Source organism: Homo sapiens, chromosome 2 (assembly GCF_000001405.40).
Source record: "Homo sapiens chromosome 2, GRCh38.p14 Primary Assembly".
Classification (NCBI taxonomy): domain Eukaryota; kingdom Metazoa; phylum Chordata; class Mammalia; order Primates; family Hominidae; genus Homo; species Homo sapiens.
Window position 1 is genome coordinate 26,161,661 of NC_000002.12, and position 15,743 is coordinate 26,177,403.

General features: G+C 52.6%; 1 protein-coding gene and 1 pseudogene across 6 annotated transcripts in view, besides 3 other annotated features; both read left to right on the top strand.

Moving 5' to 3' along the window:
- PPIL1P1 (peptidylprolyl isomerase like 1 pseudogene 1) lies at positions 369-2,199 on the top strand (annotated as a pseudogene).
- Positions 2,671-2,849: a silencer, noted in NCBI's record as "fragment chr2:26387200-26387378 (GRCh37/hg19 assembly coordinates)". NCBI's record gives its function as "represses an EF-1alpha promoter that drives an FKBP-Casp9 reporter gene in an ReSE screen in HepG2 liver carcinoma cells {active_cell/tissue: HepG2}" and the evidence as "EXISTENCE:reporter gene assay evidence [ECO:0000049][PMID:32094911]".
- Positions 3,307-3,478: a silencer, noted in NCBI's record as "fragment chr2:26387836-26388007 (GRCh37/hg19 assembly coordinates)". NCBI's record gives its function as "represses an EF-1alpha promoter that drives an FKBP-Casp9 reporter gene in an ReSE screen in K562 erythroleukemia cells {active_cell/tissue: K562}" and the evidence as "EXISTENCE:reporter gene assay evidence [ECO:0000049][PMID:32094911]".
- Positions 11,428-15,743, top strand: part of GAREM2 (GRB2 associated regulator of MAPK1 subtype 2) — a 31,217-nt gene continuing 26,901 nt past the window's right edge. For 3 of the 6 annotated variants that reach the window (XM_011532567.4, NM_001168241.2, XM_006711951.5), the window contains exons 1-2: positions 11,428-11,672; positions 14,684-14,824. In XM_011532567.4, the coding sequence (XP_011530869.1) occupies positions 11,561-11,672; positions 14,684-14,824 (253 nt within the window). In that variant the 5' untranslated portion in view covers positions 11,428-11,560. Of the gene's footprint in view, positions 11,673-12,201; positions 12,338-12,634; positions 13,319-14,683; positions 14,825-15,472; positions 15,555-15,743 lie in introns of those variants that run through there. The other 3 variants (XM_011532565.4, XM_011532564.3, XM_011532566.3) reach the window with 3 other exon arrangements.
- Positions 13,890-14,428: an enhancer, noted in NCBI's record as "H3K4me1 hESC enhancer chr2:26398419-26398957 (GRCh37/hg19 assembly coordinates)". NCBI's record gives its function as "activates a minimal SCP1, AML or CMV promoter by ChIP-STARR-seq in naive H9 embryonic stem cells {active_cell/tissue: H9 hESC(naive)}" and the evidence as "EXISTENCE:reporter gene assay evidence [ECO:0000049][PMID:30033119]".

Genomic DNA, 15,743 nt, shown 5'->3' on the forward strand with positions numbered 1-15,743 from the left:
GGGGCTAAGGCATGAGAATTGCTTGAACCTGGGAGGCAAAGGTTGCAGTGAGCCAAGATCGCTCCAGCTGGGGCGACAGAGTAAGACTCTGTCTCAAAAAAATAAAATAAATAAATAAATAGGAAGAGATGAAAAGGATAATAAAGCTTCAGTTTAAAAATGTCTTAGAATGAAGCATGCATTTTTGTTCTTGCGCCCAGCTTCTTCTCGCCTGGCACCTTAGCTTCCTGGTATTGGAAGAAGGGACCGTCCTCTTCCTTGTCCCGGCCCCCTAAATCCTGCCATTGAAAGGGTTGAATGGTGGGGACTGGAGGTGTGCTCAGCAGCAGCAGGGGTCCCCAGATAATCGATGCCAGAAGTAGCAGTTGCTAGAGAAGCATTCTGCCCACTTCACTATGGCGGCACTTCCTCCAGACTCCTGGCAGCCACCCAGTGTTTACTTGGAGACCAGCATGGGAATAATTGTACCGGAGCTGTATCGGAAGCATGCTCCAAAGACCTGTAAGAACTGCTGAGATGACTCGTCGAGGTTACTACAGTGGCACAAAATTCCACAGAATCATCGAGGATTTCATGATCCAAAAAGGTGACCCAACAGGGACAGGTTGAGGTGGTGCATTTATCTATGGCAAACAGTTTGAAGATGAGCTGCATCCAGACTTGAAATTCACGGGGCCTGGAATTCTCGCAATGGCCAATGCAGGGCCAGACACCAATGGCAGCCAGTTCTTTGTGACCCTCGCACCCACCCAGTGGATCGACAGCAAACACACCATTTTTGGCCAAGTGTGCCAGGGGATAGGAATGGTGAATCGAGTAGGAATGGTAGAAACAAACTCCCAGGACCGCCCCGTGAACGCTGTGAAGATCATTAAGGCATACCCTTCTGGGTAGACTTGCTGCTCTCTTGAGCAGGTCTTCTGAGATGTCCCCAGTGAACCAGCTTCCCAATGACCTAGAATGACATGTAATGCTAAATTTCACTTTGGCCTTGCAAATCACGATGCTTAGGAAGCCTGCATCCTAAGGTGAGTTAGGGATGGAAGTGCATTTTAATAGGATGCTTCTTTTCTCTTCCCCCATTGCCTAGGTTGACAGAGCATTTGCACAGATGCCCCTGTTTATCCATAGGTTACTACTTACTGCACATGACCCATAATGCTCCTTGTGCCTGGCTGCTCTGATATTCTTGGAACAAAATGCAGCAGACGCTGTCATTTCTCAGTGTTTTTGCCTAACCAAACTTCTTCCTGATTTATATTCTGGCCTACACTGCAGTCTTTGATGGCTGACAGTCACAGAATTCAAAACCAAGTAGTGGCAGTGTCTATCAGCCCTCTTAACTTTGTGCACACTATATTTCAGTCTCCTATGTTTGTTCTTCTAGGGGATGTATGCATCTGTCTCTATATTTTCCCTCTCAAAACCAGAACATCTGCCGGGCACGGTGGCTCACGCCTATAATCCCAGCACTTTGGGAGGCCGAGGTGGGCGGATCACCTGGGCTTAGGAGTTAAAGACCAGCCTGGCCAACATGGTATAACCCGGTCTCTACTAAAAATACTAAAATTAGCCAGACATGGTGGTGCATGCCTGTAGTTCGAGCTACTGGGGAGGCTGAGGCCGGAGAATCCCTTGAACCTGGGAGGCGGAGGTTGCAGTGAGCCAAGATTGAGCCACTGCACTCCAACCTGGGCGACAGAGCAAGAATTCGTCTCAAAAAAAGAAAAAGAAAAAAAAAAACCCACAAAAGCCAGAACATCAACCCTGCTGTTTCTGACACCTAGACATCCCACGCAAAGCCACACTGACTTTTTGCCAAATGAAAAACATATCCAAAAATCAAGTTTCTAAGAAGTGGGGAATAATAATGTGTAATAATCAAAAAATGAATTTATTAAAAGGAAGCAGAAGAATTGACCATCTTTGTCCCAGAGAAGAGGGAAATCTGTAGTGAGCACAAGGACAGACTATGAATTCTCCGTAAAATTAGTACTCTCAAAAAGGAGAGGTGTCACTTAAGTTTTCTTAACCTAAGACTTTAGAGAAATTAGATATGAGATTTTTATACATTAAGTTGTTGGACTTTTTTTTATTCTTTCTGGATTTTGGAGGGAGGAGTAGAAGAGGAAGAAAGTTAATATAATACCTATGTAATACATAGAAACTTCTAAAATAAAATGTCATCGATGGTTGAAATTGCAAACAAACAAAAATGTCTTAGTGATTACAGAGCTTAATTAAAATCAGTTTTACAAAACTAAAAATATAGAATGAACCAGGTGCAGGGGTGAGTGCCTGTAGTCTCAGCTCCCTGGGAGGCCGAGGCAGGAGGATTGTTTGAGACCAGGAGTTCAAGGTCAGCCTGGGCAACAAAGTGAACCTCATCTCTAAAAAAATAAAAATTAATTAAATTAAAGTAAATAAAATTTAGAGTAATGAATATAATGAAACATTATAATTTATGACATTTTCCCTTAAGTTTAAAATACTATTTCGAGACAAAGGTTTTATTTCTTTTGGCTAAACATGCATTATTTGCTTAAAAATAATGGACTTGGATAATATTCATGGCTCCAAAAGCATGGTATAACCTCCTTCTCCAGATTTAAGACCTGATGTTTTGAAGGTGGCAGCAAGTCCTAGGAGTTGACATACTGATTCCTTATATAACTGGGACCTATTTCTGTTGCCCATTTCAGGCAACTGCCATGGTATTGTAACTACAAACCCTGCTGCCAACCCGAGGACATCAGCTGACAGCCATCTGAGGACACAGTCACAATTCTGAGTCTGTACAATGTCCAGCCAGAGTTGCTCAGTGGGGTAAATAATTACCTCAATCATATGCCCCATACACTGTCTAATCTTTAATCTTGTAAAAGAGAACCTGGAGGAGAATAGAAAATACAGTTTGAACAAAATGTTGAAACTGTATCCATGGAAATTACTTACTGATTGTGAATGAAATGAAAGACAACTCCAAACAAATCAAAAGGTAGGTTATGTATGTTCGGTGCAAGTAATAAATGCCTACATTTGAAATAAAGATGTAGTGAAAGACTTTCTCTCAGCAAAGAAACTTAGGGTGAATGAGGGCACAGTGGTCACCTCCCTGGGTGACCTCTGAGGTGGCCAGCTGGCTGTGCCCTGCTGTGTAGGACCCGCCATCCCCACAAACTCGCATCTTGACCCGTTTCCCAGGGACTCTGCCCAGTAAGACTTTGCTCCAGTGGGGAACAGCTGGGCTGTGAGGCCCAGTGCTACCATTCTTTCTTTCTTTCTCTCTCTCTCTTTTTTTAATTTTTTGAGACAGGATCTCGCTCTGTTGCCCAGGCTGACAGAGCCTTGACTCACTGCAGCCTCGACCTCCCTGGCTCAAGTGATCCTCCCACCTCAGCCTCCCAAGTAACTGGAACACAAGCTTGCACCACTACACTTAACTAGTATATATATATATTTTTTTAGAGATAGGGTCTCGCTATGTTGCCCAGGCTGGTCTGGAACTCCTGGGCTCAAGCGATCCACCTGCCTCAGCCTCCCAAAGTACTAGGATTATAGGCATGAGCCACTGCACCCAGCTATGAGGACTCTTAATTCCTATTTTACAACGAGAGACAGTGGTGTGCTGGCAAATGTTTTACAACCACACTCCAGAAAAAAAAAAAAAAGAGTCCTGATTCGTAAGATTTGCCAATTTCTGTAGTGTAAATACACCCACCATGGTCAGTTTCAAGCCATCAACATGCTATCCCTGGACACAGAGCTGGGAAGAAATGGATAGTAGCACAACATTATATAGTTTTTCTACTGTGCAGATATGATGGACATAAATAACCCCAAGAGCATAGAAAATAGTAAAATGGGCCTGGCGCAGTAGCCCAGCTGTCATCCCAGCACTTTGGGAGGCTGAGGTGGGAGGACTGCTTGAGCCCAGGAGGTCAAGGCTGCAGTGAGCCATGACCGGGCCACTGCACTCCAGCCTGGGCAACACAGCAAGACTCTGTCTCGAAAAAGAAAAGAAAAGAATAGAATGTAATAAAATAATGAGGAAATGATGAGTCAAATATTTATTATGGTCGTCATATAATTTGCTTGTAACTTTTTATAATTTAATTTAAAATAATGGCTATCTTTAATAATCTACTTGCAAAATTCCTGAAATTTTGACAATTAGCTTTTTTTAAAATTACTATTTATTTATTTATCTATTTTGAGACAGAGTCTCACTCTGTCACCCAGGCTGGACTGCAGTGGTATGGTCTCTGCACTGCAACCTCTGCCTCCCGCGTTCAAGTGATTCTTGTGCCTCAGCCTCCCAAGTAGCTGGGATTACAGGTGGGTGCCACCATACCCAGCTAATTTTTGTATTTTTAGTAGAGACGGGGTTTCGCCATCTTGGCCAGGCTGGTCTTGAACTCCTGGGCTCAAGTGATCCACCCGCCTCGGCTTCCCAAAGTGCTGGGGTTACAGATGTGAGCCACTACGCCCGGCCTGACAATTAGCTTTTGCCACCACTGGGCAAGTAACTTGCACAGTCAATCATCCTTTCAGTCATAGGCCACTTTGCCTCATCTGCCGATGCCTGCAGTTAACCAGGCACCACATTAGTCCTTGTGGGGAATCAATTTGGAATAGATACATATCTATTCTCCTACAAGGATAGACATGGTGTCTGGGGAGGTGTATACAAGTAAATGACTAAAATGTAGTATAATAAGTGTTATGGCAGTGGTGTGACATGCACCACTGATTAATCTCACCTGAGGAGAGATTAATCTGATTTATCTTGGGGAATTAGACTGTTTTATTTGTTTGTTTTATGAGACAGGGTCTCACTCTGTTGCCCAGGCTGGAGTGCAGAGGCACCATCATGGCTCCCTGCAGCCTTGACCTCCTAGGCTCAGGTGATCCTCCCACCTCAGCCTCCCGAGTAGCCGGAACTATAGGCAGGTACCACCACCTGGCTAATTTTTGTAGTTTTTGTAGAGGCAGAGTTTTACCATGTTGCCCAGGCTGGTCTCAAACTCTTGGGCTCAAGTGATCAACCCGCTCAGCCTCCCAAAGTGCTGGGATTTCAGGCGTGAGTCACCATGCCTGGCTAGACAGCTTTTTTTTTTTTTTTTTTTTTTTTTTTTGAGATGGAGTTTCACTCTTGCTGTCCAGGCTGGAGTGCAATGGTGTAATCTCAGCTCACTGGAACCTCTACCTCCCAGGTTCAAGCGATTCTCCTGCCTTAGCCTCCCAAGTAGCTGGGATTATAGGCACCCGCCACCATGCCCAGCTAATTTTTTGTATTTTTAGTAGAGATGGGGTTTCACCATGTTGGCCAGGCTGGTCTCGAACTCCTGACCTCAGGTGATCCACCTGCCTCGGCCTCCCAAAGTGCTGGGATTATAGGCATGAGCCACCATGCCTGGCCCCAGCTAGACAGCTTTAAAGGAAAGCATAACCAATGATCAACAGATCGCTGACATCACAAGAAGAGAAACAACCTGACATTATGTGCATCCTGATCCTGATGGAAGAAACACCATCTCCTATGACATGTTATGTCAAAAAATAAAACTCAATCTGAATTTTAAGTCACTACATTCTATTACCAATGTAAAGAAAACCAGAAGAAAGAGCAACATGTTAAGCTACCCTAATTTAAAATAGTGGCTGTCTTTAATAATCTACTTGCAAAATTCCTGAAATTTTGACAATTAGCTAAGGGATGGAATTAACAAAATGCAGACTGTAGGAAACACTATAAGAGTAATGATCCAGTTTCTTTTTTTTTTTTTTTTGAGATGGAGTCTAGCCCTGTCGCCCAGGCTGGAGTGTAATGGCATGATCTTGGCTCACTGCAACTTTCACATCCCAGGTTCAAGTGATTCTCCTGCCTCAGCTTCCCAAGTAGCTGGGATTACAGGCATGCACCACCATGCCCGGCTAATTTATTTTTGCATTTTTAGTATAGACGGGGTTTCACCATGTTGGTCAGGCTGCTCTTGAACCCCTGACCTCAAGTGATTTACCTGCCTTGTCCTCTCAAAGTGCTGGGATTACAGGCATGAGCCACTATGCCTACACGTGGCTGATTGTTGGGTTTTTAGTTGTGAAATATTACTGTGGTTATAATGTAAAAAAAAAAAAGTTTCTAAGCTGGGCATGGTGGCCCATGCCTGTAGTTCTAGCTACTCAGTAAGCTGAGGTGGGAGGGTCTCAGGTTCCAGCCTAGCCTGGCAAAATAGCAAGACACCATTAAAAAAAAAAAGTTTCTATCTTTAGAGGTAGATATAGAGATATTTAAAGATAAAATACTGGGCTCAGTGGCCCATACCTGTAGTCCCACCCACTTGGGAGGATTGTTTGAGCCCAGGAGTTCAAGACCAGCCTGGGAAGTATAGTAAGACCCTCTTTTAAAAAATACAAAGAAAGGCCAGGTGCGGTGGCTCACGCCTGTAATCCCAGCACTTTGGGAGGCCGAGGCAGGCAGATCACCTGAGGTAGGGGTTCAAGACCAGCCTGGCCAACATGGTGAAACCCTGTCTCTACTAAATAATACAAAAATTAGCCAGGCATGGTGGTGGGCACCTGTAATCCCAGCTACTTGGGAGGCTGAGGCTTGAACCTGGGAGGCAGAGGTCGCAGTGAGCTGAGATTGTGCCATTGTACTCTAGCCAGGGTGACATGGTAAGACTGTCTCAAAAATAAAATAGAAAAACAAAAAGAAAACTAGATTGTAATGATGTTTGCAAGATACGATGAATACTAAAAACACTAAATGGTAAACTTTAGATGGGTGAATTGTATAGTATGTGAATTATATTTCAATAAAGTTGTTTTTAACACTCCAAGATGGGTGACGGAGGGAAGACCCTGTCTCTAAAATGAAAAAAAAAAAAAAAAGAAAACTTTTTTTTTTTTATCCAGTGAGGAAGGGTTGTAAGCAGGTACACAAAAATCAGATCAGCCGTGGGTTGGTAGGTGCTAAAGCTGGAAGATGAGCACACGGGAAGTCACATGCTATTATCTCTAGTTGTGTCTACATTTAGAATGTTCTGAAATAAAAAGTTAAATACAATATTACCTAAATTTCTCATAGGTGCTTTCCTAAATGTTTCCTGGCCTCGCCCAGTTCATGATCCCAGAAAAGGCCATCTGTCCTCTAGATGGGGTGGGGCAGGGTACTTTATAAATAATAACCCTAGCTGCTGTGGGCAGCTTTCCCTGCCTCTACTCCATTGACCTCTATGCTCCGCTCACGGGCAGCCTGGCCAGCCTCTGCCACAGCCTGGCCTCTGGGTCAACACTGGGCCTCTGGTAGGGCTGTGACCCCTCCCTACTTTTTCCTCCCCTCCAGCCAATAGGGCTCTCCTTCTTAAAATTTTTTTTATTTTTGAGACAGTGTCTTGCCCCATCACCCAGGCTGGAGTGCAGTGGCATGATCACAGCTCATTGCAGCCTCAACCTCCTGGGCTCAAGTGATCCTCCTGCCTCCGCCTCCCGAGTAGTTGGGACCACAGGAGCACACCACCATGCCTGGCTAGTTTTTGTATTTTTTGTAGAGACAGAGTTTCACTATGTTGCCGGCCTAGTCTCAAACTCCTGGGCTCAAGTGATCTGCCCGCCTCAGCCTCCCATAGTGGTGGGATACTATGCTGGGCCAGGCTCCACCTTCTACTTGTCACTGCCAGCGCTGTCAGAGTGGAGCCCACTGCAGAGGAGCTGGGATCCCCTTGGCTGGGCTCTTTCTTCTGTTCCTCCTCCCTCTCTTTCCCCCAGCTGACTCTCCTGGAGCGGGAAGCACAGGCCCAGCCACACACAGCACCTAGGCCCCAGATTCTCCCACGGCCACACCAAGCCACACAGCCTGGCCTCTCTGCCCAGCATCTTCCTCCCTCTTGGTGCCCTCTTGGCTCTCCTTCCTGCAATCTCAGTCCAAGGAAAGATCTAAACATTTCTGCCTCCAAGAGAAGCTGAGTTCCTTCCTGCAGGACTCCTGAGCCTCAGCAAATCAAGTGATGTATGTGTCTGGACACTTGTGTCAGGTCCCTGGAGACTTGACAACAGTTAAGAAGCCCTGGAAAGGCTCTGGAATATTCTGCAACAGTGAGGAGGTGGGTCCATTTAGTTAGGTGAATCTGCCTGGTGTCTCACAGCGGTGTTGCCCCTAACTCAGCCGAAATCCAGGGTTATAGGTTTTGGGTGTGAAATAGGCAGGTTGCCTGGGGGAGAGAAGATCCAAACTGTGAACGAAAGCCTGGCTGGGACTGGAGCTCCTGGGAAGAGGAGGCTGGGGCTCCATGACACCTGGTGGAAGAGGAATTGCCAGCACTTGGTGACTAGTTTGGTATAAAGGTTAGGGAGAAGATTTCCAGGTTGGGAGACCAGGGTAAAGGAGATGTCCTCAGCTGGGATAGAAAATAAAAGGGGACCCGGTTCAAGTGTGATTGTGGAAATGGAAGTGGCTGTGAACGCCTTTTGGGGGCGAAGGGGTAGAGCTGGAAGTTGAGGTCGGGAGCTGAGGAGAGCCGGCCATGCTGAGTAAGAGAAGCCACCGTAGATGTGGCGTCTCTGTCCAGGGCGCAGGGAGAAGGTGACCACGTGGCTCAATGCCAGTTTATACCTGCTGTCTGGAGCCCAGGCTACCTGCACCTGTTGTCCTAGCTGGGTGGGGAGGTGGTTAGTACCGGCTTCCCTCTTAAAAGTCTCCCAGTTAGGATGACACACGGTCACCCTAAAGAGAGACCCTACAGGGTAGGGGAAGAAAAGTGAATCTAAGGCAGCACCCTTCTCATTCACTTGCTTCTTCCGGCCTTTTCGCCCTCCTGTCTCAGACCTTCCATTCCCTTCTTTTCTTTTTTTTTTTTTTTGAGATGGAGTTTCGCTCTGTCACCCAGGCTGGAGTGTAGTGGCACGATCTCGGCTCACTGCAACCTCCGCCTCCCAGGTTCAAGCAATTCTCCTGCCTCAGCTTCCTGAGTAGCTGGGATTACAGATGTACCTGGAGTGGCAGACAAGCACCACCATGCCCGGCTAATTTTTTGCCTGGATAATTTTTGTATTTTTAGTAGAGACAGGGTTTCACCATGTTGGCCAGGCTGGTCTCGAACTCCTGACCTCAAGTGATCCACCTGCCTTGGCCTGCCAAACTGTTGAGATTACAGGTGTGAGCCACCGCGCCTGGCCCATTCCCTTCTTAAGACTCCTATATTTTCACTGTATTTTCTTTTCTTCTCCTGCCAGGCTTCACCTTCCCACTTCCCTGGGAAAGAACCCACCCCACCCCTACAGACTCAGGAGAGCGGAGTCCATCTGGGCTGCCTGAGTCACCGGGGTGAGCAGCTCCTCCCTGGCCAGGGTGAGCGGGCTGGGTTTGGGCCAGGCTGGGGAAGGGCCTCGGTCAAGTTGGTAGGTGGGGGTCCTGCCTTCTGGTCGCAGCGCTGCCTCTTTCTTGCCGTGTGACCTTAGAGCAAAGCATTTCTGCTCTTGGAGTCTCAGTTTTTTCCTCTGCAGCAGTTGAGGATTGAACCACTGATCTAAAACGTCTCTTCTCGCTGAGAAGTGGTGTTCATCTTGTCGGCTGCCATTTCTCATGGGGTTCGAGCCATAAGATGCCAGGTGTCAGTCACCTCAGAAGAGAGGGTTTTGTTTGTATTTGGTGGGGTTCTTCCGGGGGTACCGAGGCTGAGGACTGATGGATCGAGGCGGGTGGATCACTTGAGTTCGGAGTTCGAGACCAGCCTGGCCAACATGGCGAAACCCTGTCTCTACTAAAAATACAAAAATTAGCCAGGTGAAAAATTAGCCGGGCATGGTGGTGCTTGTCTGTAATCCCAGCTACATATGTAATTCCAGCTACTCAGGAAGCTGAGGCAGGAGAATTGCTTGAACCTGCGGGGCGGAGGTTGCAGTGAGCCGAGATCGTGCCACTACACTCCCGTGAGGGAGCAGCCTAGGGACTAAGGCCCGCTGGCTCCGCGAGATCAGCCAGGCCCGCATCATCCCCCAATTACCTGCAGAGGGCGCCGCAGACACAGAGAGGGCGAGGCCGAGGCCGAGGCCATCTAAGCTTCTGGGAAGGGGGTCCCAAAGGGAGGCCCCGAGCTGGAGTCCAGGGGGCTTGGAAGGAAGAGGTGAGGACAGCAGAAAAGGAAACGCAAATTAAAAGAAGGGAACGAAGGCTGGGCGCGGTGGCTTACGCCTGTAAGTCCAGCACTTTGGGAGGCCGAGTCGGGAGGATCGCTTGAGGTCAGGAGTTCAAGACCAGCCTGGCCAACATGGTGAAACGCCGTCTCTACTAAAAATACAAAAAAATTAGCCAGGAGTGGTGGCAGGTGCCTGTCATCCCAGCTACTCCGCAGGCTGAGGTGGGAGGATCGCTTGAGCCCGGGAGGTGGGGGTTGCAGTGAGCCGAGATCGCGCCACTGCACTCCAGGCTGGGTGATAGAGTGAGACCCAGTCTCAAAAAAAGAGAAGGAAAAGAGAGAAGGGATGGTGGCGGTGGGGGAGGAAGGCGGTTCTTGTAATGATCCGAGAGGAGACCGCAGCACCGGTTACGCCCTCGAACCTCGGCCTCCTCATCTGCAGAATGGACGCAGTCCACACCGCGTGCTGTGGAAGGGTTGGAGCGCCGGTTTACATGACACAGGGCTATCGGCTAAGGGGGCGCTGGGAACGTGGAAGGTGCTCTATGGTGGGGCGCTGTAGGGTGCTCTTGGGCAGTAGGGTTGGAGTCAAATCTGGGTTGAAGTCCAACCTAGGTTGAAGTCCTGGCTGCCACCTGACCTCTGCCCCTCAGTTTGCTCATCAGTAAAATGGGGTTAAGGAGGCTGCCTCGCCCAGCTCCACGGAGCCGGAGGTGATGAAGGTCCTGGAAGAGCAGAATTCAGAACCCGAGCTTTGGGCGGCGGAGCAGGACAGGGCGCGGGTGGGCGCGGCCTCCGGGAGGCCAGCACGAGGGGGAGCGGCGGGGCCCGGACACACCCAGCCAGAAGGAGGAGGCCGACCCCGCGCCGACTCCGCAGATGCCGCTCGGGACTTCGTTGTCCCTCCAGGCGCCCGCCCTGGGGTCCTCCATCACCCGCCGTCACCTGGGCGCGGGGAAGCTGGCGGGAGGGGAGGCGGGGCTTGGCGGCAGCGGCGGGTGGGGGCCGGGGAGCGGGGGCAGGGGCGGGCGGACGGAGCGCGGGGCTGGGGACCCGGGGTCCCAGAAGGGGGCGCGGGGACGGGGTCCGAGGAGAGGGGGCCGGGGCGGGGCAGGGCGGACAGGGCTGGGGGCGGAGGTCCGGGGGTGGGTCCGGCGGCGAGTCCGGGTCGGGGCGGACAGAGCAGGGGGCGGGGGTCCGGGAGGAGGGGGCCGGGGTCCGGGAGGAGGGGGCGGGGCCCGGGGGCGGGGCCGGGGTCGGCGCCCTGCGGGGAGGCCGGCCACGTGACGCCCGCGGCCCGGCGGGGCTGCCAGGCGGCGAGCGCCGCGGCGGCCCCGGGAGGTGGCGGCGGGCGCGAGAGCCTGGGCCGCGCGGGACTGACCGTCGGGGCCCCGGGACGGCGGCCCCGGGGCGCCCATGCCATGGAGAAGCTGGCGGCCGGGCTGGCCGGCCTGCGCTGGAGCATGGGCGCCTTCCCGCTCGACCTCATCGTCAGCCGCTGCCGCCTGCCCACGCTCGCCTGCCTTGGGCCAGGTACCGGGGTCGCTGGAGATGGGGACCGGGGTCCGCGGGGAAATGGTGGGCTCTCCAGCCAGGGGCCAGAGGGATCGTGAGGAGGGTGCGGCACCCGCACCCTCCCAGCTCCCCGGCGTGGGCCCCGAGCGGTTCCTGGCGCGCCTCCCGGGAGACGCGGGGCCCACCCGCCAGGTCCGCCTCCTGGGCCCCGCGGACAAGCACAGGCACAGACACCGGGGACAGGGCCCGGGACAGAGTTTTCCCGCCCAGCTGGAGTCCGGAAAGGGGCCGAGCCCCTGCTCCCGCCCCGTCGGTTGCCCCCCTTTCCCCCGCTGCCCCTGGGCCCCCCGCCCCGGCCGCGCCCCCTTGGTCCCTTTGTCCCTGGCCTCTCACCTCTGTCTTCCCTCATCCCTGGGACCCGGACTCTGTCTTCCCCTTACCGCCACCCCTAGTCCTGCTCCGCCCCTCTGGGGACCCTTCTTGCACCTCCTTTCTCTTCCCTAGGAGCAGCCTCGGTCCTGGGGCGGGCAGGCCACCTTCGGGAGAGGCCGGCGGGAGCCGGGTCTGCTGCCCGGCGTGACCCCCAAACTCCCGGCCCTCCCCCGAATCTTGTCCCACTTCTTAATAGGACCTGGGGCCCCCAGCCGCTCGGCTGATGGAACCACGCATGGGGGCCCGAGAGGGTACGCCCGGAGGCTGCATGGAGCGAGGGGACCGTTTGGGGGGAGGGGGGTGCTGCTTGGTTGGGGGATGGGCGGTAGCCGGGGCTGGCAGCCAGGCCGGGGGTTTTGTGTGTGAGAAGAATAGGGGTTTGGCCCGCGTTGGCACACTCGCTTCCATGAATGCTAATGGGGCCCGCGGCCGCAGGCTCCTCGTCTCCCCGTGGGGCCCGGCAGCCCCTCCTCCGTGGCGGCCAGGAGTGGGCACAGTGGGCGTCAGCTGTCCCGGGAGCAGGCTCATGGGGGAGCATCGGCGCCCCGCCGTCGGGCAGGCCAGCGTCTAGTTCTCTGGCTCGCGGCCGAGTGGTCAGAGTGTGGTACTGTGTCTGCCTGTGAATGGAGGTCGCTGCCCTGGGGTCTTCTGGCCACTTCCCACACATCCTTTTTGGCATCTCCCCTTTCTGGGCAGCTTTTCTGAGCTCCTCGGTCTGCGTAGGGCCTCCTTTGGGCTCCCCGGCCACCTCATGCCAACTCTGGCTTGTCTCCTACTGTGCACCCCATTATAATGGTCAGTCAGTTTATTGTCTTTAGACCTGGCTGTGGGCTCCTTGAGACCAGGCATCCTTGCCCAATAAAGATTATGGATTGAATGAATGGGTGAGTGAATGAACAACTGGTGTGATGGCCCAGCTGTCTGTTGTGTGTGACAGTGTGTGGCTATGGCTGGGTCACCATCAGGGTGTGAATGTCTGGTCAGAATTGTATGGCTTGAAGGGTAGGTCCCTGTGTGCCTGTGCATTTGGGAGGGGCCCCTTGGCCGGAGACTGAGTTATGTTGTTTGGGTGACAAGCATCTGTCACTGTGGGCTATTGTGGTTCAGCTGTTGGTGGTCATGAGCCATGATTACTGCTGTGTGCCCATGTGGCTGTGAAGATGGGGCTAGGACCCAGGACAGCTCTCAGAGGAGGGAGCAGAGTTGGAGGAGAGCTTCTTGGGCCCCCGGAGGTGAGGAGGTACAGGGGAAAGCTTAGACAACACCCCCAACACACACATAGTGGGGGCCAGGCCCTTCCTGTGCGTCTTGAACCGCCCGCCACCCTGCCACACACACACACACACATACACACACACGCCTACCCCACATGTACACATTTTATGGAGCCCCCAGCCATCAGAGTAAACCATTTCCCATTTGATTGGCAGAAATTTTGTAAGTTGTGCCTGAAGGAGAAAGGAAGGAGGTACTCCCTACCCCCACCCTCCCCACCAGCTGCAGCCCGGACACAGCCCCTTCTGCCTCCTGGAAGCTGGGCTGCCCCTCCTGCTCCCCTGGAAACCGTTGCTGGGGTTGGCGCCTCCAGGCCCAGACCCCTCCCAACTCCCAACACCTCTGCCCCAGAGCAGCTTCCCCCAGGCCCCAGGGCTGGGCCTCCCACTCCTGCCTTCTAAACCTGCTCTCTCAACCCCTCCAACCCTCAGCCGTCACCCCTGTAACTGGGAGGATGAGGGGGCGTGGGGAGGGGGTGTCAAGGAGCTGCTTCTCTGAGATGGGGTTGGGGGTTTCTGGGGACTCCCCCCTCTCCTTCGAGGTCCCCTTGACAAGGCAGTGGGTGGCTTCTCTGAGATGGGGTTGGGGGTTTCTGGGGACTCCCCCCCTCTCCTTCGAGGTCCCCTGAACAAGGCAGTGGGTGGAAAGGAAGGGCTGCCCTTGGGAGAGGCAGTAATCAGCTGCTCTAAGCCCTGTCATTCTCCTGACCTGAGCGACCCGTGGCTCTGGGGGAGCTCTCACAGCTGGGACCTTATAAGGGACAGTCCCGTCCGGGCCCTCTCCACTGCCCCAGTAGGGCCCTTCTTGCAGGGCCTAGGCCCTGACTGGGAAGCACAGCTCCAGCATCTCCTGCTCAATAAAGTCTCCCTTCGCCACCACACCCCCAGCTGGAGCCTACTGCTGCCCTCCGGGTCCCCAGACATACTCCAGTCAGTGCCTCAAACTTGCCTAGTCTCTGGTACATCTCTGCCCACCTCCCCAGGGGCCTAAGGGCTCCTGGAGGGCAGGGGCTGGTCTGGGCTCATCCATGGGGAGCTCCCCCTGCTCCAGCTCAGAGCCAGGGACAGCAGGCATTCCAGCCACTGATGAACGAGGGGCCCCGTCGGGAGTCACAGCCCTGAGAGGCTCACAGCCAGCCCCACAGCCCCAGGCCCCAGCTGGCAGCCCGCCTGTCCCTTGAGCTTTGCTGACCTGGACAGGGATTGTGTGGAGCTGTCCCTCAGGGGGGCGGTCTTGGTGAGGACGTCACTATCTGTTCTTTCTGCCCCTTCTAATGTCCTGTCTTCCTTCCCCTCATCCTCTGTCCTCCTCCCCCTTCCCAGGGGAGTACGCCGAGGGCGTCAGTGAGCGAGACATCCTGCTCATCCACTCCTGCCGGCAGTGGACAACGGTGACAGCTCATACCCTGGAGGAGGGCCACTATGTCATCGGGCCCAAGATCGACATCCCCCTGCAGTACCCAGGTGTGTCCAGCCAGGACAGATGTCATAAAGCCTGTAGGGGGGTGTAGGCAGGAGGGACTGGGGCCAGGGGTAGGGGGAACGCTGGGACTAGCGAGGCGGTGATTAGGGTTAGGGTTGGAGTCAGAGCCCAGCAGTTTTCATTCTGTTCTGTGGCACTCTGGGTTTCTGGAGAGGTGGCTCACAGGTTTTTTGATTCACATTTTATTTTAAAGTAGATTTGAAACTAATGATTAAAAAATACCCACACTCTTAAATTACTACACATCAGAGCTTAACCCTAATCAGAGGCCTTCAGGGTATACCTTCGGCTGCCACGCTTAGCCATCTTTGTGCAGACCCTCCAAGAGAACATGTCCTGCCAGGACCTTTTCTGTACCGCGCAACCAAATACCGCAGAAACCAGCGAATGCCCAAGCTGGTTACATGGCTGCACCTCTCCGCGCTGATCCTGTTTTTCCCAATTTTTGCGTTAAACCTATTGTTTCCATTGGTTGACTTTATAAGTGAATATTAAAAATTTTAGACTTCTAAAGATTATGCTAATGGACTACCTTTATTAGTTTTATACGTGACGTTGACATATAATAAGATTTTGTTTGAAGAAAGGATTCTGTTACCAAAACAGAGTACAGCCCCTTCCTTTTACAGATGATGAAACGGAAGGCTTGGGGGAGGAGGTGACTTGCCCCGTGTCACACATCTAGGAAAGGAAGAGCCTGGCCAGATCCAGGTATCTCAACTGAGGGCTGGTGTCTGCTGCACTACACCAGGAGCGTGTGGTTGCTGTCCCCTGTGTGGGAGGGATGGGAGTCTGGTGGCCCCATCCCAGAGACGTCCCCGTGTGAGCCCCGGATCCCACATCTGCCATGTGTTAAGCATGTGCTGCATGCCATATGCTGGGCCGAACATTTTTGCCATT